Here is a 25,588-nt window from a genome sequence, read left to right on the forward strand (position 1 = left end):
AGAGCTACTACTAGAAGCAGTAATTCATAACTTGCCTACCCTCCTTCCATCCCTGCTGATTCAGGAGAAGGGGGAAAAAACAAAGAAAACAAAACAAAAAACTAACCAGGGTGTCTTGTAGATTTGCTGCTATGCCACAAAATGTTGGCATTTGCTGCCATGCCACAATGTTGGTCCACTGAAATAGGATTTCTGCGGAAACTGTCAACAGTAATTCACCATATGCAAGTACCATCCTTAGCATGTGAGAATAATAACAGGTTCTGTAGAAATGTACAATGTGCTGAAGATAATGAAAATTGTAGCACTGCATTTGAGATTTATTTGTCTACTTATCTAGTAAAACTTGTCATTTTTGCTCACTTAATTATGGTCATTTGTGATTCCTTTAAATAGCAAAAATGCACAGTGCCCTTTAGGCCTCTACTCAATAATAGTTTACATTACTCTTAACAAAATCATTCTACATAAACTGATAGCTCCTTAAAAAGAGTACTCTCTCATTAAATCTAATTTGACAGAAAGAAGTTTAAGGAAAAAAGGAGTGTTTTATAAGTGAAAAACTACAGATCTTTGGCCTTTCTCTTGACATTTTCATATGTCAAAAAGCAAAAATACCTTCAGGTAATTCAATCTAGTGATTACTTTTTGCACCATAATTTGTTTTTTACACCACAAGAGGAGTCACTTTCAGTATCTGTAAAAGGTATTTAATCCTAAAACATACTTACCTAGAGAATAATTAAAACAATTCAATACACTCTAATATCTATTAGGAAGTTAAGAGTTACCAGTTTAAAAGTCTTTTGAAAGTCAATGATGTTACCTGGTCAATGGCAGGAAATAGGGATTGGAACAAATATAAGAACTTATGGGATTTCCTACATGAAGGCGAAAAAAGATATTCCTTTATGTTGTTTAAAAGTAGCAGCTACTCTTTCTTTATTTCATTTTAATCAATTAGTATTCATTCAAGTTTTCCCTTCTATTTTTCCTTGTAAGTTTCTTACAGTAGCTTATACAACAATGAATAGCAAACAAAAACTACTGGATTCAATTGATCATCAGAAATAAGTTCTCAGAAAAACACAGGTGGAAAAATGAGCGAGAATCCCAAATACAGAAATTTACAAGGTGTGAAACTTCATCTCTTGCAATCGTGTTACTGCTCAAATTAGAGACAATCTTATTTCTATCTATTGGAGCAGCATCTTGGCACATCAACAGGCAATGATGAGGTTGAGAACAGCAGCAAAAATAAACAATCGTATGCTCATGAAGAACCCAAGCCTACCAGATGGATGCCTTTCAGAAAAGCGTATACTTAAAAGACCCAAGACGTCAGGATGATAAAGCTCTGTATTTATAGTCTTTTATATGTCCTTTTGTATGTCCTATTGTGGCTACTATGCTTAAGTAAAATAGCTACAGGAAAAAAAAAAAAGATGACAATATAATAAAAATGTAGCTGTCTCTTTTGGCAGCTATATTGCAGAATTTCTTGACTATCTTTTGATCAGCTGGGGAAAAGTCAATAACTGAATGCAAACGAATAAATTGTCCATATAAAAATACAAAAGTACTGTCAATAATCACCTCTGACTTTCAGGTTTAAATTCAGTGCAATTGACAAATGCATTGCTAAAGGAAAATGCAACTTAAAAGATACTCAAAACATTTGGGTCTATTGCTGGGACCACATTTCAAAATTCTTGCACAGATTTTTTTTAATTTTAATTTTAATTTTTAAACAATAACAGAGATCAACCACAGATGTGGACCTCTAGCAATAAAAGCAGGAATTCAAGTGCCAGATATTCAGCATATTAGGTTTCCTACAGAAGTCACAGGTTAAGAAGTTCTAAATATCTCTAATGTGATTCAAAACCCTAAAAAGAGCTGGCACAAAACCATCGTGAATGACTGCCTCTACTGATGCAAATTTTTTTTTTTTTTTGAGATGGAGTCTCACTCTGTCATCCAGGCTGGAGTGCAATGGTGTGGTCTCGGCTCACTGCAACCTCCGCCTCCTGGGTTCAAGCGATTCTCCTGCCTCAGCTTCCTGAGTAGCTGGGACTACAGGCGCATGCCACCTCACCCGGCTAATTTTTGTATTTTTAGTAGAGACGGGGTTTCACTATGTTGGCCAGGCTGGTCTCCAACACCTGACCTCGTGATCTGCCCACCTTGGCCTCCCAAAGTGCTGGGATTACAGGCATGAGCCACCGCGCCAGGCCTGTATGTAAATTTTTAAAAATATTATTACGGTATCATAGTCCCCACTAACAACAACTGGGATACATATAACAATGTATTGTGAAATTAAGTGTATTTATAATCTCTACCAATAGCAAATGCTACCCTACCTTGGTAAAACCAAGAGTTGCTTCAATCAATGCTGTTTTGTAAAAATAGCAAAGCAACAATTGCTGAAAATCAAAGTTGCATTCCTTGGGTTAAGCCAGTTTCTACTTAAACTTTAGTACTAAAAGGCCTCAAAATAATTCATGACAGAAATAGTGTTATTAATTTGCCAAGCTCAACAATAAGGAATTCCTTGATTAAAATCTTTGAGATATAAATTTGATGACCTTTCTCTTTAGAGATGACATACCTGGATTATACTAATCATGACAAGCCTTATTAGTCACACTTATAAACATGGCCTCATGCAATCGTTTGTCTGTATATGTTACTCTTAGTTGCATGAGAACAAGAGGTTTAATTTAATGTCTATGTCTTTAAGAAAATACTTGATATTATAAACAGAGTAAAAGACATGATAAAGTAGTGATACTGAAACAAAAATTAGCTGCTTAAATCTATCTATATTTGAAAAAATGTAGTCACAAGTATCACAAGTGCAGAATCAGAGCAGCAGGCAGAAGGTTAGTGCAATTATACTTTCATAAAAAAAAAAATCGCAATCACTGCTATTTAAAAACACCTTGAAGCAAGTCTTTTGTTTTAGAGATTGTTTTTTAAACTAAGGTAGCAAACATTTTGCCATGTAATGGAAGTGTTATATGCCGTTATCTTGCTTTGTATAAAGAAAACAACATGAGAGATTTCTAATAGTGGAGTTTGGTTACATTACATATTTAAGCTTCTACACAGAATGATAGACAATTCGAGAAGCGAATCCTTACCCAGAAACATTTCAATCTCTCAAAAAAAAAGCAAAACAAACAAACAAACAAACAAACAACAAAAAACCCAAAACTACTTTGCTCCTTTTCACAATAGTGCACATTTTTACCATAATTTATTTATGGCTACAAAACATCAGAAGTGGTTTTTTTTTTTTTTTTTTTTTTTTTTTTTTTTTTTTTGAGTTGGCGTCTCGCTCTGTCACCCAGGCTGGAGTGCAGTGGCGCGATCTCTGCTCACTGCAACCTCCGCCTCCCGGGTTCAAGCGATTCTCCTGCCTCAGCCTCCTGAGTAGCTGGGATTACAGGCGCCCGCCACTGCGCCTGGCTAATTTTTGTATTTTTGGTAGAGATGGTGTTTCACCATCTTGGCCAGGCTGGTCAAGAACTCCTGACCTCAGGTGATTCACCCGCCTTGGCCTCCCAAAGTGCTGGGATTATAGGTGTGAGCCACTGCATCCAGCCAATTTTTTAAAAAGGTATTTTCTCTATGGTAATTAAAACAACAACAACAACATTTTGTGCCCTTCTAGTCTTTAATTGGTAGAAATATGTCCCCCAAAAGAAACTATTGCATTTATGCCACATCGCCTAAAAAGAAAAAACAAACAAACAAAGAACCAAAACCAACAGAACATAATACACCTTTTATGGATGTGTCTTACAGACTGACATGACCAAAGTCATGTTTTCATTTAATTTCCAATTCTCCCTTCCACAACATGCACCAATTGAATATGTGCTCTGGGAGCCATAAAATGTACCAAACATCTACCTCTTCAAAAGAATGCATTAAAATATTTTAAAGAATTTTTTGTTGTTTAAAAGCTGAAAAAATATAAACAAGAAACTGATTCATTCCCTTACTTCATGCACCCATAATCTAAACCAAAAACAAAATTTTAAAGCAAGAACAAACTACCACTGCAAGTTTTTGTGTCCATTTTCTCTGTACATACAAACTGCTCACTACTGAAGGGAAAAAAGAATATAATCCTTGGTGTCTGCGGATTCAAAGGGGAGAAACGAGGCTGTCAGGTGGTATCCAAAAACTGGTACATGTATGTTCTGCTTTTATAATGTGTATTTTTCTCTCTTCTGTTTTTCATATCCAAAACTTCTAAATGCTATTTTAGGGGCACAGTAGATTAGATTCCAGCACTTGGTGAACAGAATTCACAAGCTGTGACAAAACTGTCATCTTCAGGGTGCAATTTTGTTTATATACATTGTATGTATATATTTCTTTCTGTTTTTCTTTTCTTTTCTTTTTTTTTTTTGAGAAGGAGTCTCGCTCTGTTGCCTAGTCTGGAGTGCAGTGGCACAATCTCTGCTCACTGCAACCTCCGCCTCCCAGGTTCAAGCGATTCTCCTGTCTCAGCCTCCCGAGTAGCTGGGACTACAGGCACGCACCACCATGCCCGGCTAATTTTTGTATTTTTAGAAGAGACAGGGTTTCACCATATTGGCCAGGCTTGTCTCGAACTCCTGACCCTTGATCCGTCTGCCTCTGTCTCCCAAAGTGCTGGGATTACAAGCATGAGCCTCTGCGCCCAGCCTATATTTCTTTTAGATTTGGCTGTAGTCGACTGGCCATGGTTCAAGTGGGACTATAGCAGTACGTGGGTCAGGGACAGTCATTTTGGCTATGTACACATTCATAGTTGGTCCATGGCTTCCAACTAGTAGCGCTATTTCCGAAAGTCTAATACACAAACTGAACCATCTGATGCACTGGCTCCAACTTTGTCTCCTGCGGCATTCCAGCAAACTTCAAAAATTCCATCTGTTCCCCTACAGTGTGAACTAGAGCACCTGTCTGTGTGTTCCAGATGTGTACACATTTGTCAAAAGAATTGCTGGCCAGATACCGGCCATCAGGACTGAAAGCTACACTGTACACAGGCTTCTCATTCAGCATTTACCTTCGGTATAGAAAGCCGTATCAGTCAGTCCAATATAAATGGTGCCCTCGTCCCACCTGCTGCATTGATTTCTATCATCCAGAAAGGTCTACAGTATGTAGAAGCAGAAGTTAGTATTAATGAGGATGGTACTTTCTTTGATGGTCGACCAATGAGTCTGTCCCTGATAGACGCCTTAATGCCTGATGTAGTACAAACAAGACAACAAGCTTATAGCGATAAGCTTAAACAGCAACAGGCAGCAGCTGCCACAGCCAACCAACAAGGATCTGCAAAAAAAAAAAAAAAAAAAAAAAAAAAAAAAAATGCAGAAAACACAGCAAATGGGGAGGAGAATGGAGCACATATTATAGCAAATAATCATACTGATACGATGGAAGTGGATGGAGATATTGAAATCCCTCCTAATAAAGCAGGACAAGGATAAATTCATGTCCTTTGCAGGGATGTGGATGAAGTCCTGTTGGACTCCATTTGATAGGATAAATTTCTTTATTATGTGCTTGCAAATCATGGACACAATTGTCTTGTTTCATACTCCATATCTTTAAAGTCATGTCATCAGAACAAGAGGCCAGGAGATTGCCAGTTGGGTCCCATTTGATAGCATTTACTTCATTCTTATGTCCCTGGAATGTTTTAATAGGTCTGTCTTGTGACCCAGTGATCCCATTACTCAGTATATACCCAAAGGATTATAAATAATGCTACTATAAAGACACATGCACATGTATGTTTATTGCAGCACAATTCACATTAGCAAAGACTTGGAACCAACCCAAGTGTTCATCAATTAGGAAAATGTGGCACATATACACCATGGAATACTATGCGGCCATAAAGAAGGATAAGTTCATGTCCTTTGCAGGGACGTGGATGAAGCTGGAAACCATCATTCTGAGCAATCTATCCCGAAGACAGAAAACCAAACACTGGACGTTCTCCCTCATAGGCAAGAGTTGAACAATGAGAATGCACGGACACAGGGCGGGGAACATCACACACCAGGACCTGTCGGGGCGTGGGGGGTATGAGGCAGGGATAGCATAGGAGAAATACCTAATGTAAATGACGAGTTGATGGGTGCAGCAAACCAACATGGCACATGTATACCTATGTAACAAGCCTGCACATTGTGCACATGTACCCTAGAAATTAAAGTATAATAAAAAAATAAATAAAACAGTTCTGATACAAAGAAAAAGAAAATGAGACAATTGGTGTAGTGACAGAAGATTCTTTAGGAATATAAGTAATATTAAAACAATGATTGGTTCCTACTTATACTGGACAAAGGCAGCCTATCAGAGTGATGTCTTACTTAGACTGTGGGTGTGATGACTGAAACTCTCTCTTTACCCTAATGAAAAGGCCATCATTTTGGGACTGGCAGAGAGGACAGCTGGAGGTTGCATGGCTCCCAGAAGGTTATGGAGCCAAGAGTGATGGCTGATTTTCTACATATGAGTTTTATCTGAGGGAGAAAAAATCTTCTATCTTATTTAGAACATTGTTATTTTGAATCCCTCTTACAAACAACTAAACCAGTTTCCTCACTAATGTGTAATATATCCTGAAAGCACTAATATCCTTACTAAAAAAATCTATGTTTCATAGGTGACTAGCAAAACTGCTGAGCTTGTGACATGTTCCACATGAAATATCTGTCAAGGGAATTCTAATGTTTTGAGTGTGTCACAGTGTTTACCCAACAACCTCCTATATATGAATTCAATTTCTCAGATATCTCAATCTAAAAGAAAAGGTTAGATAATGCTGTTATACTTTGAACCAAGAGAATAAATTTTCTGTTAATTTAGAAGTATATTTAAATCAGAATTATATGAAGAGTTATCTGTTCTTTAGTTTAGCATTGATTTAGCGATACTAACCAGTTAAATTACATGAGATAAAACATTGGAATAAAACTGGAAGGAAGAGGTTAGATTATCATTATTAATAACTGATATGGTTGTATGCCTGGGATATCCAAGAAAAACAAATTAAAACTATCACACCAACAAAGAAAATACAGGTAAATTATTTAGACTAAATCAATACGGAGAAATGAACACTTCCCCTACATAACATTAATGACCTATTAGGAAATATTAAGATAGAATAGAATTATGCTTATAATACTAACATAAAAGTTAAAATATTGAGGAATAAACCTAAGCAGAATATAAAAATGAATTGAAAATTACAGCAAGCTTTTGGATAGGGAGACATCATCAAAATATTACCACTCCCAGGAGTAAGTAAAATGTAATATAATCTCCATAAGTATACCAATGGGATTTTTTAGAGCACTATTTTTTTTCAAGCAGATTTTACATTTTGTCTGGAAAAATAAGTGAGGAAGAATAGTCAGAAAAACTCCAAAGATGAAGGAAATGAGAGTGCTGATCTAACCTATTTTAAAGCGTATTATAAAGCCTCACTATTTACAGTGATGTGGTATTAGGAAAGAATACAAGTAGTAAAATAGAAGAAAACATCCAGGGGAAAAACCCAAATACATATGAACATTTAGTGTAATATGTAGGGCTATTTCTTCTCAGTTTTCTTTGGAATCTCTATAAAAAATGGAAACATAACAGTTTAAAAGTAAACTAAAATAATTAAGATATCACAAATGTCAAAACTCAAAACATTAACACTGCATGTATTTCTAAGTAGTTACTTAGGGTCATAAAGAAATAAATTAGAACTTCCAAAGCAATCTTTAAAAGAATAATTTAAAATAATTCACGTGTCATACTGACTGTAGTACAGATTTCTACCTACTTATCCTAATCTCTGCCATCCCCTTCTTTCTTGGTAGTCTCATTCTGAATTTTTAACATGCATATGAAAGCCTGGAATAAAGATTATATTATTAAGTCTAGTTTGCAGGTAACCAAGGTTATGATCTAAATGCTGTCCAATAAAATGTAAGCATAAGTCTTGGGTGGAAGCTTCTGAAACCTCCTTGGAGGGAATTCTTGGCTCTTCTTTGCTCCTTCTTTCTCCTTGTTCATTGGAAAGAAAACATTGTATGGGGAAAGCCAACTGGTCCTATCTTGGATCATGAGTTGGCAAAAACAAATGTATCAGAGCAGCAAAATAGAAGTAACCTGAGCCCAAGAAATTTCTAAAGCTATGGACTGCCTACTTGGGAATTTATTTTAGTAATAGAAGATTCTATTTTGTTTAAAACAATATTTTTCAAGCTCCTTTTAGCTGGTGAACCTATTCCTAATTGATAAACAGGTCAAGTCACTTAACTTCATCATGTTTCATTTTTCTTCAAAGAAAAAGACACACACACACACACACACACACACACAGAGAGAGAGAGAGAGAGAAAGAGAGAGAGAGAGAATGCATACTATGTTATGATTTTTAATGTAGCCACAATTCTGTTTTCGTTTCAAGTTGAATGTTATTTGGGTTAAGGAGGATGGTGTGTGTTTGCATGTTTGGGACACAATATTAGATGCTTTACAAGTAATAAATCTACTTTATGAAATGGATAATTATTGCCCTTGTTTATATAGGTAGTGAAATTGAAGCTTATTGGGGGTATATTGATCAAAGCCAAACAACCAGTGAGTGGTAAAACCTGGTTTTGATTTTAGATACTTGATGTGGATGGCAATGCTTTCATTATGTACCTCACCATATTCTAGAATGATAATGTGATCATAAATTAGTCACAATTAACCTAGACTGTTTATATTGAGTTGTAAAAATCTGGGCATGTTTGTAGGCTTAAAGGAAACAGGCAGGAGAAAAAGAGAGACTGACGATGCACCAGTCTGTGATCAAAAGCCCTGAGGTAACGAGCTACATCTCTTCCTCCAGGAGGAAGAAGGCAGAGGTGCTCTCTTGTGCCTCAGTGGTGGATGGGGACCAAAGGAGGGTATTTCCTTCTGATACTCTGTGTGTCTCCAGGTAGTTGGAATTGAAGGCATCTGACAAATGTTAGACAAACACGAGTGATTGAGATTGAAGAAAGACTGGAGTAGTTACTGTGGAGAATGCAAAAGGATGGTTATTCAAGGTACAGGGACCCCGGTAAGCAGGGGAGGGCAGCTGCTTTTGTGGTCAATGTCCTCTTTGTTCAAGCAATAGGTCTTTTAATGCACTCACGAACTACACTCGCAAACTCTTTATGTATCTTGAATTAATTGCCCAGTCAAAAAACAATTTTTCCCATTCAGTCGTTTGATCATACTTGTCCGAATTTACCACAACTATTTACTTAGTTTGATGGCCTTCATATTAAATTAAAGAATGAGTAGAGCCCAGAGAGCCTAAATTTATAGTGATTAATATTTTCACTTGCCAGAGGCCTGAAAGAGTATCTTGCTTCAAGTAGATGTGTACTGGGAATTTCCTGGCTGAAGCCAATTGACATCCATGAGTTAGGTTTGCATTCCTTAGCAACGCGCTCTGACATTTCATTGCTTTGACTTTCCTAGTGCTTTACCAGCTTTATGAATGATGGATGAGCATTCCTTTAAAGTCTTATCTATCCTGTGTGTCCTTGACCTAACACTTTGTATCGATGGATATTTCAGCTTCTCCTTGATGGCAGGATTGATCATCACAACCCTTTTCTGACAATTGACCTAGGAGCACAGGAGGCAAAGAATAATTGACAGAAGGTATAGAATTACAACCTTGACAGCCAACATTATCTACAGAAGAAGGAGAAACAGGTAGATCCGAGAATAATCAATGCCTAGGAGGAACCAGAAATGATAGGACAATATAGATACATAGAAAAAGACCCAACTAAAGAGTTTTAGACCAAAAATAAGCATGTAGTTCAAAGGACAGTGGTCAGCTGAAATACGATAAAGTGTATACAGTAAGTTACAAATCTTGGAAATATTATGTAAACTGTTTGGAAAGGAAGTCAGAATCTTCAAAGAATCTGATAACGCAGAGCAAGATAGTACAAAATTAGTTCAGCTCTTCAGATATACCAATATCAGAAACCTGAGGGACATTTATTGACTATTGATTACAGGATGACTTAATTGTTAGATAAACTTCTCCACCTGTGAGAATCATCTTCTGAATTTCCTGTCTGAATGGGAAAAAGATCTAGTACATGATTAATATTTGATCTGCAAGTAGATAGGTTTGTATACTTCTGATATCAAACTTTGAATCATGTGTGTGTATCTGCATCCAAACTAGAGCCTTGATTTAGAACAATTTCTGGCTCTCCCAGATTTACTGTACTTTCCCACATTTAATGTATTCCATTCACTTGCTTGAGGAATAAATTAATTGTACTTGCAGAATTCTTCATTTTACCCAATCCTTTAATTTAAATAGTGAAAAAATCATCTTTGATAGCCCACTTCTAAGTTTTAGTTTTTATATAATGCTTTGATGTACTTGATTCTGTATTTTTCAGGAATTTCCTGCTGAGATAATTTACCACCTTCAGAGTATAGACTTGTCTTCTATTAATCTATAGAGGAAAGCTATGCATCCCTCCAGCAAACTATGAATATGTCCAAAAAGTGTTTTCAGGTAGAGCACTGTGATTATTTTAGATGACTGGAATGCACTAAAACATGAATTCCACTCTATTGAATATTTAAAAACCCACTTAGAGCTTCTGTCTATGGCATTTGTATATTTTCAATATCTGTGACTGTAAGCTATAATTTAGGTCCCTTAATTTCCAGCAATATTTGTACCGGGTACCCTTCAATGATTCTGACCAATGATTAACTTGTACAGTTAACTACTTATTATGAATGTTGAGATGAGAAACAAATCATATCTGTCCTCATAATTGCAAGTTCTTTCACTCAAGCCTGATTAATTTGTAATGTGAATGTGTGAAGAAAAATTCCTTGTCAAGTGTCAAAACAAAGGTTTTAAGAATAAACTTATTTTTGGACAGGCAACCAAAATAATTATACACAATAATCTAAGGAATGGATAAGATTAGCAACTACATGTATTGTAATTTTATTTTGACATCGATTCTCAACATCATATTAGTTATACTTAGGTATTTGTAATTAAAAAGTTGTCAATATTATAGGCATGTCTGTGTACAAGCAGATGAGGATGCACACCTTTACTATAGAAAGAACATGGAGCAAACATTGATGCTGGAATGTCAAGGTTCAGTGACATGTAAGACAATGTATCTCAAGTATGAGATTAATTGTGCACTTCTCTCTGTCAGCTTCAGTTGTTGAATTTGGATTTGAATGATTTCTACAGTATTTCAGAAAATAACTTTTTCATTTATTAATAAAGTGTATTTACAATTTTCACCAAGGAATCTTTGTAAGTATGGTAACCTTCTATTCTGTCATCTTTTATCTTTGGAAATGAAGATCGTAGCTTAAATTGATTAGTCTTCAAAAGGTTTGGCTCATGATTAACTACATTATCAAATTGTATTATGCAAGACTGATGTCAATTTCTCTAATTGGAGCATGAGATCACTTTTAAAATTTATTAAGTGTTTATTTTCCAGTTTATAACCTATTACAACTAATAATTTTAGAGCTGCTGTCTATGGCCTACAGAGTAACACTATTAATATTAATTTCTCCCTTTCAAGTTTATCTTTTCATCTTTTTTATTACCTTTCTTTTCTACTTTTTCCCTTTATTCCCTCCTACAATTAAATGACACAGCCTCTTAGCCTACTAAACCTGGAAAGAAGCTCTTGAGCCATTCACTGTAGCCCTTCCAGAAGGTCTATTCACAAAGCCTGGCTGAAAATTCAGGCTTTACATCTGTGTTAGTCTGAATTCTTCAGAGAAAGAGAAGTCAGTAACTCCTACATGGAGAGCAAGGAAGACATATTTTTCCTAAAGTTTTCTTTATCAGATCACTTCTGACCTTAAGAAAAAGAATATCTAAGGCGAAGTTAATATTCTGACGCCTGCCTAAAAGAGGACGTGTGCTCATAAAGTGCATTCTAGATAGAGAGTAAGTGGATGATATGAAATCTCATATCATATTAAACATGGATCAAATAATTTAACTACTTTAGTAATTACAAGTTCAGAGATGTTACCACAGTCCAAAAATCTAAGAAAGGAGATAAGAGTTCACAGGCAAACTAGATTGACTACCAGTTGAAACTTTTAGTCATTTAAATTGTTGATAGGCACACTCCTAGAGCTTCAGATAGAGCCTCTTTAATGAAAGGTCTCTCATTCCTGAATACTAAATGCTTGCCAGAAAAGAGTTAAAGAATGGCAAGGGAATTCTGCATAGGTAAGTAGAAAGCTTCTGGAGTAATACTAGGTGAGTTTTGAAATAACACCGTTATTTACAACTGGGGATTCTATTTTATTCTTCCCTTTGATTTTTTTTTATATAGTCTTTGGTGAGCTATATTGGCCAATAAAGCTGGAAATGAGATACTAGATATAATAGGTTAGTGAATTTCAGCCTAGGATACAATGTGGCTTTTGAATTCTTTTGCCTCATGTCTTATTTGGATTCCTTTTTTTTATGGAAAAATTTTTTTTTATTATACTTTAAGTTTTAAGGTACATGTGCACAACATGCATGTTAGTTACATATGTATACATGTGCCATGCTGGTGTGCTGCACCCATTAACTCATCATTTAACATTAGGTATATCATCTAATGCTATCCCTCCCCCCTCCCCCCACCCCACAACAGGCCCCGGTGTGTGATGTTCCCCTTCCTGTGTCCATGTGTTCTCATTGTTCAATTCCCACCTATGAGTGAGAACATGCGGTGTTTGGTTTTTTGTCCTTGTGATAGTTTGCTGAGAATGATGGTTTCCAGCTTCATCCATGTCCCTACAAAGGACATGAACTCATCCTTTTTTATGGCTGCATAGTATTCCATGGTGTATATGTGTCACATTTTCTTAATCCAGTTTATCATTGATGGACATTTGGGTTGGTTCCAAGTCTTTGCTATTGTGAATAGTGCCACAATAAACATAGGTATGCATGTGTCCTTATAGCAGCATGATTTATAATCCTTTGGGTATATACCCAGTAATGGGATGGCTGGGTCAAATGGTATTTCTAGTTCTAGATCCCTGAGGAATCCCCACACTGACTTCCACAATGGTTGAACTAGTTTGCAGTCCCAACAACAGTGTAAAAGTGTTCCTATTTCTCCACATCCTCTCCAGCACCTGTTGTTTCCTGACTTTTTAATGATCGCCATTCTAGCTGGTGTGAGATGGTATCTCATTGTGGTTTTGATTTGCATTTCTCTGATGGCCAGTGATGATGGGCATTTTTTCATGCGTCTTTTGGCTGCATAAATGTCTTCTTTTGAGAAGTGTCTGTTCATATCCTTCGCCCACTTTTTGATGGGGTTGTTTGTTTTTTTCTTGTAAATTTGAGTTCATTGTAGATTCTGGATATTAGCCCTTTGTCAGATGAGTAGATTGCAAAAATCTTCTCCCATTCTGTAGGCTGCCTGTTCACACTGATGGTAGTTTCTTTTGCTGTGCAGAAGCTCTTTAGTTTAATTAGATCCCATTTGTCAATTTTGGCTTTTGTTGCCATTGCTTTTGGTGTTTTAGACATGAAGTCCTTGTCCATGCCTATGTCCTCAATGGTGTTGCATAGGTTTTCTTCTAGGGTTTTTATGGTTTCAGGTCTAACATTTAAGTCTTTAATCCATCTTGAATTAATTTTTGTATAAGGTGTAAGGAAGGCATCCAGTTTCAGCTTTCTACATATGGCTAGCCAGTTTTCCCAGCACCATTTATTAAATAGGGAATCCTTTCCCCATTTCTTGTAGTTGTCACGTTTGTCAAAGATCAGATGGTTGTAGATATGTGGTATTATTTCTGAGGGCTCTGTTCTGTTCCATTGGTCTATAACTCTGTTTTGGTACCAGTACCATGCTGTTTTGGTTACTGTAGCCTTGTAGTATAATTTGAAGTCAGGTAGCATGATGCCTCCAGCTTTGTTCTTTTGGCTTAGGATTGACTTGGCAATGCAGGCCCTTTTTTGGTTCCATATGAACTTTAAAGTAGTTTTTTCCAATTCTGTGAAGAAAGTCATTGGTAGCTTGATGGGGATGGCCTTGAATCTATAAATTACCTTGGGCAGTATGGCCATTTTCACGATATTGATTCTTCCTACCCATGAGCATGGAATGTTCTTCCACTTGTTTGTATCCTCTTTTATTTCACTGAGCAGTGGTTTGTAGTTCTTCTTGAAGAGGTCCTTCATGTCCTTTGTAAGTTGGATTCCTAGGTATTATATTCTCTTTGAAGCAACTGTGAATGGGAGTTCACTCATGATTTGTCTCTGTTTGTCTGTTATTGGTGTATAAGAATGCTTGTGATTTTTGCACATTGATTTTGTATCCTGAGACTTTGCTGAAGTTGCCTATCAGCTTAAGGAGATTTTGGGCTGAGACAATGGGGTTTTCTAGATATACAATCATGTCATCTGCAAACAGGGACAATCTGACTTCCTCTTTTCCTAATTGAGTACCCTTTATTTCCTTCTCCTGCCTGATTGCCCTGGCCAGAACTTCCAACACTATGTTGAATAGGAGTGGTGAGAGAGGGCATCGCTGTCTTGTACCAGTTTTCAAAGGGAATGCTTCCAGTTTTTGCCCATTCAGTATGATATTGGTTGTGGGTTTATCATAGTTAGCTCTTATTATTTTGAGATACGTCCCATCAATACCTAATTTATTGAGAGTTTTTAGCATGAAGTGTTGTTGAATTTTGTCAAAGGCCTTTTCTGCATCTATTGAAATAATCATATGGATTTTGTCGTTGGTTCTGTTTATATGCTGGATTACATTTATTGATTTTCGTATGTTGAACCAACCTTGCATCCCAGGGATGAAGCCCACTTGATCATGGTGGATAAGCTTTTTGATGTGCTGCTGGATTCGGTTTGCCAGTATTTTATTGAGGATTTTTGCATCAATGTTCATCAGGGATATTGGTCTAAAATTCTCTTTTTTTGTTGTGTCTCTGCCAGGCTTTGGTATCAGGATGATGCTGGTTTCATAAAATGAGTTAGAGAGGACTCCCTCTTTTTCTATTGATTGGAATAGTTTCAGAAGGAATGGTACCAGCTCCTCCTTGTACCTCTGGTAGAATTCGGCTGTGAATCCATCTGGTCCTGGACTTTTTTTGGTTGGTAAGCTATTAATTATTGCCTGAATTTCAGAGCCTGTTATTGGTCCATTCAGAGATTCAACTTCTTCCTGGTTTAGTCTTGGGAGGGTGTGTGTGTCCAGGAGTTTATCCATTTCTTCTAGATTTTCTAGTTTATTTGCATAGAGGTGTTTATAGTATTCTCTGATGGTAGTTTGTATTTCTGTGGGATCGGTGGTGATATCCCCTTTGTCATTTTTTATTGCATCTATTTGATTCTTCTCTCTTTTCTTCTTTATTAGTCTTGCTAGCAGTCTATCAATTTTGTTGATCTTTTCAAAAAACCAGCTCCTGGATTCATTGATTTTTTTGAAGGGTTTTTTGTGTCTCTATTTCCTTCGGTTCTGCTCTGATCTTAGTTATTTCTTGCCTTCTGCTAGCTTTTGAATGTGTTTTCCCTTGCTTCTCTAGTTCTTTTAATTGTGATGTTAGGGTGTCAATTTTAGATCTTTCCTGCTTTCTCTTGTGGGCATTTAGTGCTATAAATTTCCCTCTACACACTGCTTTGAATGTGTCCCAGAAATTCTGGTATGTTGTGTCTTTGTTCTCGTTGGTTTCAAAGAACATCTTTGTTTCTGCCTTCATTTCGTTATGTACCTAGTAGTCATTCAGGAGCAGGTTGTTCAATTTCCATGTAGTTGAGAGGTTTTGAGTGAGTTTCTTAATCCTGAGTTCTAGTTTCATTGCACTGTGGTCTGAGAGATAGTTTGTTATAATTTCTGTTCTTTTACATTTGCTGAGGAGTGCTTTACTTTCAACTATGTGGTCAATTTTGGAATAAGTGCGGTATGGTGCTGAGAATGTATATTCTGTTGATTTGGGGTGGAGAGTTCTGTAGATGTCTATTAGGTCCGCTTGATGCAGAGCTGAGTTCAATTCCTGGATATCCTTGTTAACTTTCTGTCTCGTTGATCTGTCTAATGTTGACAGTGTGGTGTTAAAGTCTCTCATTATTATCGTGTGGGAGTTTAAGTCGCTTTGTGTGTCTCTAAGGACTTGCTTTATGAATCTGGGTGCTCCTGTATTGGGTGTATATACATTTAGGATAGTTAGCTCTTCTTGTTGAATTGATCTCTTTACCATTATGTAATGGCCTTCTTTGTCTCTTTTGATCTTTGTTGGTTTAAAGTCTGTTTTATCAGAGACTAGGATTGCAATGCCTGCCTTTTTTTGTTTTCCATTTGCTTGGTAGATCTTCCTCCATTCCTTTATTTTGAGCCTATGTGTGTCTCTGAATGTGAGATGGGTTTCCTGAATACAGCACACTGATGGGTCTTGACTCTTTATCCAATTTGCCAGTCTGTGTCTTTTAAATGGAGCATTTAGCCCATTTACATTTAAGGTTAATATTGTTATGTATGAATTCAATCCTGTCATTATAATGTTAGCTGGTTATTTTGCTCGTTAGTTGATGCAGTTTCTTCCTAGCCTTGATTGTCTTTACAATTTGGCATGTTTTTGCAGTGGCTGGTACCTGTTGTTCCTTTCCATGTTTAGTGCTTTCTTCAGGAGCTCTTTTAGGGCAGGCCTGGTGGTGACACAATCTCTCAGCATTTGCTTGTCTGTAAAGGATTTTGTTTCTCCTTCACTTATGAATCTTAGTTTGGCTGGATATGAAATTCTGTGTTGAAAATTCTTTTCTTTAAGAATGTTGAATATTGGCCCCCACTCTCTTCTGGCTTGTAGAGTTCCTGCCAAGAGATCAGCTGTTAGTCTGTTGGGCTTCCCTTTGTGGGTAACCCGATCTTTCTCTCTGGCTGCCCTTAACATTTTTTCCTTCATTTTCAACTTTGGTGAATCTGACAATTATGTGTCTTGGAGTTGCTCTTCTCGAGGAGTATCTTTGTGGTGTTCTCTGTATTTCCTGAATTTGAATGTTGGCCTGCCTTGCTAGATTGGCGAAGTTCTGGATAATATTGTGCAGAGTGTTTTCCAACTTGGTTCCATTCTCCCCGTCACTTTCAGGTACACCAATCAGACGTAGATTTGGTCTTTTCACATAGTCACATATTTCTTGGAGGCTTTGTTCATTTCTTTTTATTCTTTTTCCTCTAAACTTTTCTTCTCACTTCATTTCATTAATTTCATCTTCCGTCACTGATACCCTTTCTTCCAGTTAATCGAATTGGCTACTGAGGCTGTGCATTTGTCACGTAGTTCTCGTGCCTTGGTTTTCAGCTCCATCAGGTCCTTTAAGGACTTCTCTGCATTGGTTATTCTAGTTAGCCATTCGTCTAATTTTTTTTCAAGGTTTTTAACTTCTTTGCCATGGGTTCGAACTTCCTCCTTTAGCTCGGAGTAGTTTGATCGTCTGAAGCCTTCTCTCAACTCGTCAAAGTCATTCTCCATCCAGCTTTGTTCCGTTGCTGGTGAGGAGCTGTGTTCCTTTGGAGGAGGAGAGGCGCTCCGATTTTTAGAGTTTCCAGTTTTTCTGCTCTGTTTTTTCCCCATCTTTGTGGTTTTATCTACCTTTAGTCTTCGATGATGGTGACGTACAGATGGGGTTTTGGTGTGGATGTCGTTTCTGTTTGTTAGTTTTCCTTCTAACAGTCAGGATCCTCAGCTGCAGGTCTGTTGGAGTCTGCTGGAGGTCCACTCCAGACCCTGTTTTCCTGGGTGTCAGCAGCGGAGGCTGCAGAACAGCGGATACTGGTGAGCAGCAAATGTTGCTGCCTGATCTTTCCTTTGGAAGTTTTGTCTCAGAGGAGTACCCAGCCGTGTGAGGTGTCAGTCTGCCCCTGCTGGGGGGTGCCTCCCAGTTAGGCTACTCGGGAGTCAGGGACCTACTTGAGGAGGCAGTCTGTCCGTTCTCAGATCTCCAGCTGCTGCATGCTGGGAGAACCACTACTCTCTTCAAAGCTCAGTTGGAAATGCAGAAATCACTCATCTTCTGCGTCGCTCACTCTGGGAGCTCTAGACTGGAGCTGTTCCTATTCGACCCTCTTGGCTCCACCTTCCCTCTTAAACAGTTTTATACATGAAACACAAGTTTTACAATCTCACTGGTGTAATATATTTATTTAAACTATAATAAAAAGGCATTAATTAAAATGACACTGGCGAGAAATTTGTGATGCCATCTTATTTTTTCTAAATGCTTATCTGACCAGAGATAATTAGTAAACATTAAAAAGTGCACAGAAGTGTAATTTTTAAAATGCCTATTATAACCAATTTTACCTGGAAAATCACACTCAATAAAAGTGTGCTTCTTGGGAACTATTATTCATCAAAGAGAAAATAATATATAAAATTAATTATCTCTGTTATAATAGGATTTCCAAACAACCATATCAGCTCTGTCTTCTCTTGGCTACAAACGACCAAAATGCCAAAGTCTTCCCCAACCAAGCATTCTGGTGTTAAAATCATTCAAATTTTCTTGAGGAAACTGCACCAATATTGCTGGGCTCTAACACATAAGAGACTGTTGGAGGAGAATGGAAGCATTTAGTAGAGCACCTCACATACTATTAGTGATCAAGTAATTTTTGGTGATTAGTAAACAACTTTGATAGTAAAAAATGTGATTCAAAATGTATCCTAAGACTCAATGGTAAAACCCATACATACCCAAACAACCCATTCTCTATTTAGAAAAATTATCTTAATAGAAAGTCTCACCACCTCAACGCTATATAATATACAATTAATTATATACCATGTTCCAGAAATAAAAAGAAAACGTTATAGTTGAAAGGATTGTGGTAACAAAAAAGGAACTATGCATAGAATATTTTTAAAAATCAGTGTTTCCTATTCCAAATAAGCCAGAGAAATGTGATAATCTTATTAAGATATCTTTAAAGAACCGATAACACTCAAACCTGAGTTTCATGACACAAGCCCGAAGTTCAATTTGCTTTTGCTGATTCTATGTTAATAGAGAAATTTGGCTTTTGCAGTAGATTTCTCTACAGGCACAAAATGCCCTGTCCAGAAGACATGAGTATACATCCACATTGACTTCTCTATTGTAAATAAATAATCTGTTCTCTGTTTAAAATTAGGTGGCATTTTAATGTGTGCTTGTTTTTTGATTTGGTCAATGTGAACCATTTGCTCAAGTTCTATCAATACTGTTCACAAAAACAAAACTGTTTGTCAAAAAGAATACCAGATTCCGGCCAAGAGGAATTAGCTGAAAAGTTCTTGCCTGAGGAACTGGCAAATTTACTTCTATTACATTGCCTTTTAAATGCCTCCATTTGTTTAATAATACTGTTTCAATAATTGAGCCAACATTTATTGATTGCTTATTATAAGATAGGTAGACACTGTGTCAGATAATATAAAAATGAAGAATACGTAGTCCTACTAAGTGTGTTACCAAAACACCAGGGGTTTGGTCTAGGTCCTGCTGCTCACTGCACAGAAAGCCAATCACTGAGATGACAAGTATTGCCAAAGAAGAACTCTTTAATCGGGTACTGCAGCCAAGGAGATAGGAGCTCAAGTCTCAAATCCATCTCCCTGACTAACTAAAACAAGAGGTTTATATAGCATGGAAGAAATGTAACATTGTGTAATAAAACTGGAACTATGGAGGGGCAAAGAGGCATCTGGTGCTGTGATTAGGTGAGCTTCAATTCTTTAATACTTTTTTTGAGAAGCCTGAAGGTCTTTTCCTGAGGAAGAAACTCAGATAAAACAAATACAGGTTTCAAGCTTCAACAGCAGAAGGGTTAATGTCTATGTTTATCCAAAATAACAATCTATGGGAGTATTGGGTTGGTTTCAAGTAAAGCTCTATCCAGTTTAGGAAACTAAAATATGATAAGTGAACATGGCTTATGTGATAAATGCTTCCATGCAGGTGAATACAGGATAGTCTGGGAACATAATACAAGCAGTGGGGAGGAAAGTAAATTAGCATTTTCCAATTCAGATCTCACATAGGCTTGCAGAGAAGGGGATCTTCTCTTAGAGTTCTGCTCTTCCCTAGGATGAGACACTACTGATATTTAGTGTGGGGGTTAAGGCGAAAGATCCAGAGATATGCAAATAAGTCACACAAATAAAATTGTCACATATTCATGTTCACCCAAGCACTCATGCAGGTGCAAATAGGTAATTATCTGAGTCTTATTCTTAATTCCATTAAACTAGAATTATCTTTTATACTTTTGATATTCATTTGATTTTGTATAAATAACAATATGAGGTAATTTAAAGGAAGATCATTACAATACTTTGTTGGATAATGAGTTTTTATCATTTTGGAAAATAATATCCCCAGTAGAAAAGCCATTGATGGCATTTTTAACTGCAGTAAAAGCATACTTTGTATATGATTTTCAGTAAAAGTATGCTTGTATGATTCTGCATTTGCCGCTGTTATATTTATGTGACCTTACTTATTAGGTATAAATATGTCTTATCATGTCTTGTCCTGCGTGGTTGTGCTTCAGCATTAACATGTTAAAATACACATTACATTTTGTTATTATTTTGATTTCTTTTCTATGTTTCCATTAAAAGATTTTATTAATTTATTTTAAATTGTATGTAGGTAGCTTATAAGAATTTTACTTCATGATAAAAGTAACTATAATTTTTTTGGCATTTAGGTTCAAGAATACATGTGTGGGTTTGTGATTGGTAAACTCTGTGTCATGGGGGTTTGGTGTGCAGATTATTTCACCATCCATGTAATAAGCTTAGTATCTGATAGGTAGTTTTCCAATTCTCACCCTCGCCCCTCATCCAACCTCAAGTAGGCCTTAGTGTCTGTTTTTCCCTTCTTTGTGCCCATGTGTAATCAGTGTTTAGCTCCCACTTGTAAGTGAGAACATGCAGTTCTCACTTTTCTGTTCCTTTGTTAATTCGCTTAGGATAATGGCCTGTAGCTCCATTCATTTTCCTGCAAAGACATGATCTTGTTCTTTGTTATGGCTGTGTAGTATTCCATGGGACAATGGACCACATTTTTTTAATGCAGTCTATTGTTGATAGGCATTTAGGTTAGTTCCATGTCTTTGCTATTGTGAATAGTGCTTTGATGAACACATGTGTGCATGTGTCTTTATGGCAGAATGATTTCTCTCCTTTGGGTATATACCCAATAATATGATTGCTGAGTTGAACGGTAATTCTACTTTAAGTTCTTTGAGAAATCACCACACTGGTTTACACAATGACTGAAGTAATTAACCTTCCCACCAGCAGTGTATAAGTATTCCATTTTCTCTGCAACCTCACCAGCTTCTGTCATTTTTTGACTTTTTGTTGATAGCCATTTTGACTGGTGTGAGATGGTATCACACTGTGGTTTTGAGTTGCATTTCTTTAATGATTTTTGATGCTGAACACTTTCTTCATATGCTTGTTAGCTGTGTGTGGTATTCTTTTGAGAAGTGTCCATTCATGTCTTTTTAAATGGGGCTGCTTGTTTTTTTGCTTGTTAATTTGTTTAAGTTCCTAATAGATTCTGGATATTAGAACTTTGTTTGATGTATAGTTCACAAATACTTTCTCCCATTCTATACTTTGTACATTTACTCTGTTGATAGTTTCTTTTGCTGTGCAGAGACTCTTCAGTTGAATTAAGTCCCATTTGTCAATTTTTTTGTTGCAATTGCTTTTGGCAGTGGCATCATGAACTATTTGCCAGATCTTCTGTCCAGAATGGCATATCCTAGGATATTTCCCAGGGTTTTTATAGTTTTGGGTTTCACACTTATGTTTTAAATTCATCTTGAGTTGATTTTTGTATATGGTGTAAGGAAGGGGTCCAGTTTCAATCTTCTGCATACGGCTAGCCAGTTTTCATTTATTGAATCATCAGCATCATTTATTGAATAGTGAGTCCTTTTACAATTGCTTGTTTTTGCCTACTTTGTTGAAGATCAGATGACTGTAGGGGTGCAACAATATTTCTGGGCTCTCTACTTTGTTCCATTGGTCTGTGTGTCTGTTTTTGTACCAGTACCTTGCTGTTTTGGTTACTGTAAACTTGTAGTATAGTTTGAAGTCAGGTAATGTAATGCCTCTAGATTTGTTCATTTTGCTGAGGATTGTCTTGGGTATTTGAGCTCTTTTTCAGTTCCATATCATTTTTAAATAGTTCATTCTAATTTTGTGAAGAATGTCATTGGTAGTTTGATAGGAATAGCATTTAATATGTAAATTTCTTTGGGTAGTATGGGCATTTTAATAATATTGATTCTTCCTATCTATGACTTGAATGTTTTTATATTTGTTTTTTCATCTTTGATTTCTTTCAGCAGTGTTTTGTAATTCTCATTCTAGAGATTTTCACTTCCCTGGTTAGCAGTATTCCTAGGTATTTTATCCTTCCATGGCTATTGTGAATGGGATTGTGATCTTGATTTGGCTCTCAGCTTGGACATTGTTGGTGTATAGGATTGCTACTAATTTTTATACATTTATTTTGTATCCCAAAACTTTGCTGAAGTTTAGGACTTCCAGTACTATGTTAAATAGAAGTGATGAGACTGGACATCCTGGTATTGTTCTAGTTCTCAAGGGGAATGCAGCCAGCTTTTGTCCATTCAGTATGATGGTGATAGGTTTATCATAGATGGCTCTTATTATTTTGAAGAATATTCCTTCAAAGCCTAGTTTGTTGAAGGTTTTTAATATGAAGGAATATGGATTTTTATTAAAAACCTTTTCAGCATTTCTTGAGTAAATCATGTGTTTGTGTGTGTGTGTGTGTTTTGGTTCTATTTACATGATGAATCACATTTATTGATTTGTGTATGTTGAACCAACCTTGTTTCCTAGGGATAAAACCTACTTGATCATTGTGGATTTTTTTACACGCTGCTGGATTTGGTTTGCTAGTATTTTGTTGGAGCTTTTGCATCTATGTTCAGCGAGAATATTTGCCTGAAGTTTTCTGCTTTTGTTGTGTCTCTGTCAGGTTTTGCTATCAGGATGATGTTAACTTTATAGAATAAGTTACAGAGAAATTCCTCCGCCTCAATTTTTTTGGAATAGTTCCAATAGGAATGATACCAGCTCTTCTTTGTACAACTGGTATAATTCATCTGTGAATCTGTCTGGTTCTGGGGTGTTTGTTTGTTTGTTTTTAGTTTTTGGTTGGCAGGCTATTTATTATTAATTCAATTTCAGATCCCTGAAAATACCAATATCATTATCGGTCTTTTTGGGGATTTAATTTCTTCCTGTTTCCATCTTGGGAGGTTGTATGCTTCCAGGAATGTATACATTTCTTCTAGGTTTTCTAGCTTGTGTGCATAGAGTTGTTCCTAGTTGCCTCTGAGGGATTTTTGTATTTCTATGGGGTCAGTAGTAATGTCTCCTTTGTCATTTCTGATTGCGTTTATTTGGATCTTCTCTCTTATTTTCTTTATTAGTCTAGCTATTGATCTATGTTATTAATTCTTTCAGAAAACCAACTCATGGATTTATTGATCTTTTGTGTAGTTTTTTGTTTCTCAATGTCCTTCAGTTAAGCTCTGACTTTGATTATTTCTTGTCTTCTGCTAGCTTTGGTGTTGTTATGCTCTTGTTTCTCTAGTTCCTCTAGTTGTAATGTTAGGTTGTTCATTTGAGATCTTTTAAACCTTTTGATGTGGGTGTTTAGTGCTATATATTTCTCTGTTAATACTGCTTTAGCTGTGTCACAGAGATTCTTGTATGTTGTATCTTTCTTCTTATTTTTCCAAAATATTTCTTGATTTCTGTCTTAATTTCATTATTTACCCAGAAGTCATTCAGGAGCAGGTTGTTTAGTCTCCATGTAACTGTATGATTTTGAGTAATTTTCTTATTATTGATCTCTATTTTATTGTGCTGTGGACCAAGAGTGCAGTTGGTATGATTTTAATTTTTTGAATTTGCTGATGCTGAGGATTGTTTTATGTTTGATTGTGTAGTCAATTTTAGAGTATGATCCATGTGCAGATGAGAAGAATGTATACTCTTTTGTTTTGAGATGGAGAGTTCCATAGATACCTGTTAGGTGCATTTGGTCAAGTGTTGAGTTCCTAAATATGTTTGTTAGTTTTCTGCCCCAATGATCTGTCTAACACTGTCAATGGGTTGTTGAATTCTTCCACTATTATTGTGTATTTATCTAAGTATCTTCATTGGTGTGTAAGAACTTGCTTTATGAATCTGGGTGGTCCCGTGTTGGGGGCATATATATTTAGGATAATTCGTGTTTTCGTTGAATTGAGCCATTTACCATTATGTAATGCCCTTCCTTGTCTTTTTTGATCTTTGCTGGTTTAAAGTCTGTTTTGTCCGAAATTAAAATAGCAATCCCTGCTTTTTTCTGATTTCTTCTTGCTGGGTAGATTTCTCTTTATCTCTTTACATTGAGTACCTTCATTACTACTGCCCTGGTAGGCAGTAGCCCTGGGCGGGGTTCCCACTTCCTCTCTTTCAGTCCAGCATCTGTGTCCTCTCCCCAACCACTCTCAGTGCCTTCTCTCCAAAAATTTGCTTGGAGTGTGCCAGTCTTCCCAATGTCCCAGTCCCTCAGTGGAAGATGTTCCTACTGGCTGCATCTAGTTGGCCATCTTGCCTCCCTTCACATTCCTAAAAATATTTGTTTTTAAAAGAGAGTTTTGTGTTGGTTAAGGGGTAGGGGGCTAGGGGAGGGATAACCTTAGGAAAAATACCTAATGTAGAAGACAGGTTGATGGGTGCAGCAAACCACCATGGCACGTGTATACCTATGTAACAAACCCGCATGTTCTACACATGTATCTCAGAACTTAAAGTACAATTTTAAAAAACAGACTTTTTTTTAGTAGTGTTCACAACTAAGTAATAAACAAACAAATTTATAGGTCTAGGAAAGGATGAGTACCTTTAGGGCAACTGAGAATTTATAAAATTTGATTGTAGAAAGGAGGTGGGAGTCAGATTACCAAGAGCTTTGTTACCAAGGAAAGAAAACTTCATTCTAATTCCATTTATCCTTCAGACCTGCTTTCTCCTGTGTCTGCCTCAATAATGATTTGAGATCTGGCTAGTTTAATTGAGTTCTTGTTGCTAATTATGTTATCCTAGTGTTTGTAACCTAATAGGTTCATATTTAAAGTAATTACACCTTTTGATTTGGAGGTATACTTCCAAAATATTACTTATGATAAATATTTTATTAGACCCAGATTTTTATATAAATAATTAGAAGTTTTGGTTTGGGGGTACATCATCTGTTAAGTAGTTTGCTGTTTTTTTTTTTTTAACTATTTGTTTTGCTTTCACTTTCTTTCATCTAAATATAAAAAATAATGATGTGGGTATTTTTTGTTTTGCCCTAGGTTGTTCTGTATTTTTTTTCAACATATTAGCTGTCCAAGGGAAAAAGATAGAAGCAGAGCCATGATAAGCAAATGAAAAAATTTAA

The 25,588-nt window shown here is 36.4% G+C and overlaps 1 long non-coding RNA gene and 1 pseudogene across 2 annotated transcripts; one reads left to right on the forward strand and one right to left on the reverse strand.

The window, feature by feature from the left end:
- On the reverse strand, nucleotides 4,709-5,731 carry LOC100421513 (TBL1X/Y related 1 pseudogene; annotated as a pseudogene).
- Nucleotides 9,016-25,587, forward strand: LINC02536 (long intergenic non-protein coding RNA 2536). Of its 2 annotated transcripts, none has more exons than XR_001743851.2 (4): nucleotides 9,016-9,136; nucleotides 9,643-9,783; nucleotides 10,494-10,612; nucleotides 25,503-25,587. It is a non-coding gene; the product is annotated as a long intergenic non-protein coding RNA 2536 (long non-coding RNA). The 2 variants fall into 2 exon arrangements; XR_001743853.2 differs by having other exon boundaries at nucleotides 9,016-9,122.
- The last annotated feature ends 1 nt before the right edge of the window (nucleotide 25,588 follows it).

This window comes from Homo sapiens, chromosome 6, assembly GCF_000001405.40.
Source record: "Homo sapiens chromosome 6, GRCh38.p14 Primary Assembly".
NCBI lineage: Eukaryota > Metazoa > Chordata > Mammalia > Primates > Hominidae > Homo > Homo sapiens.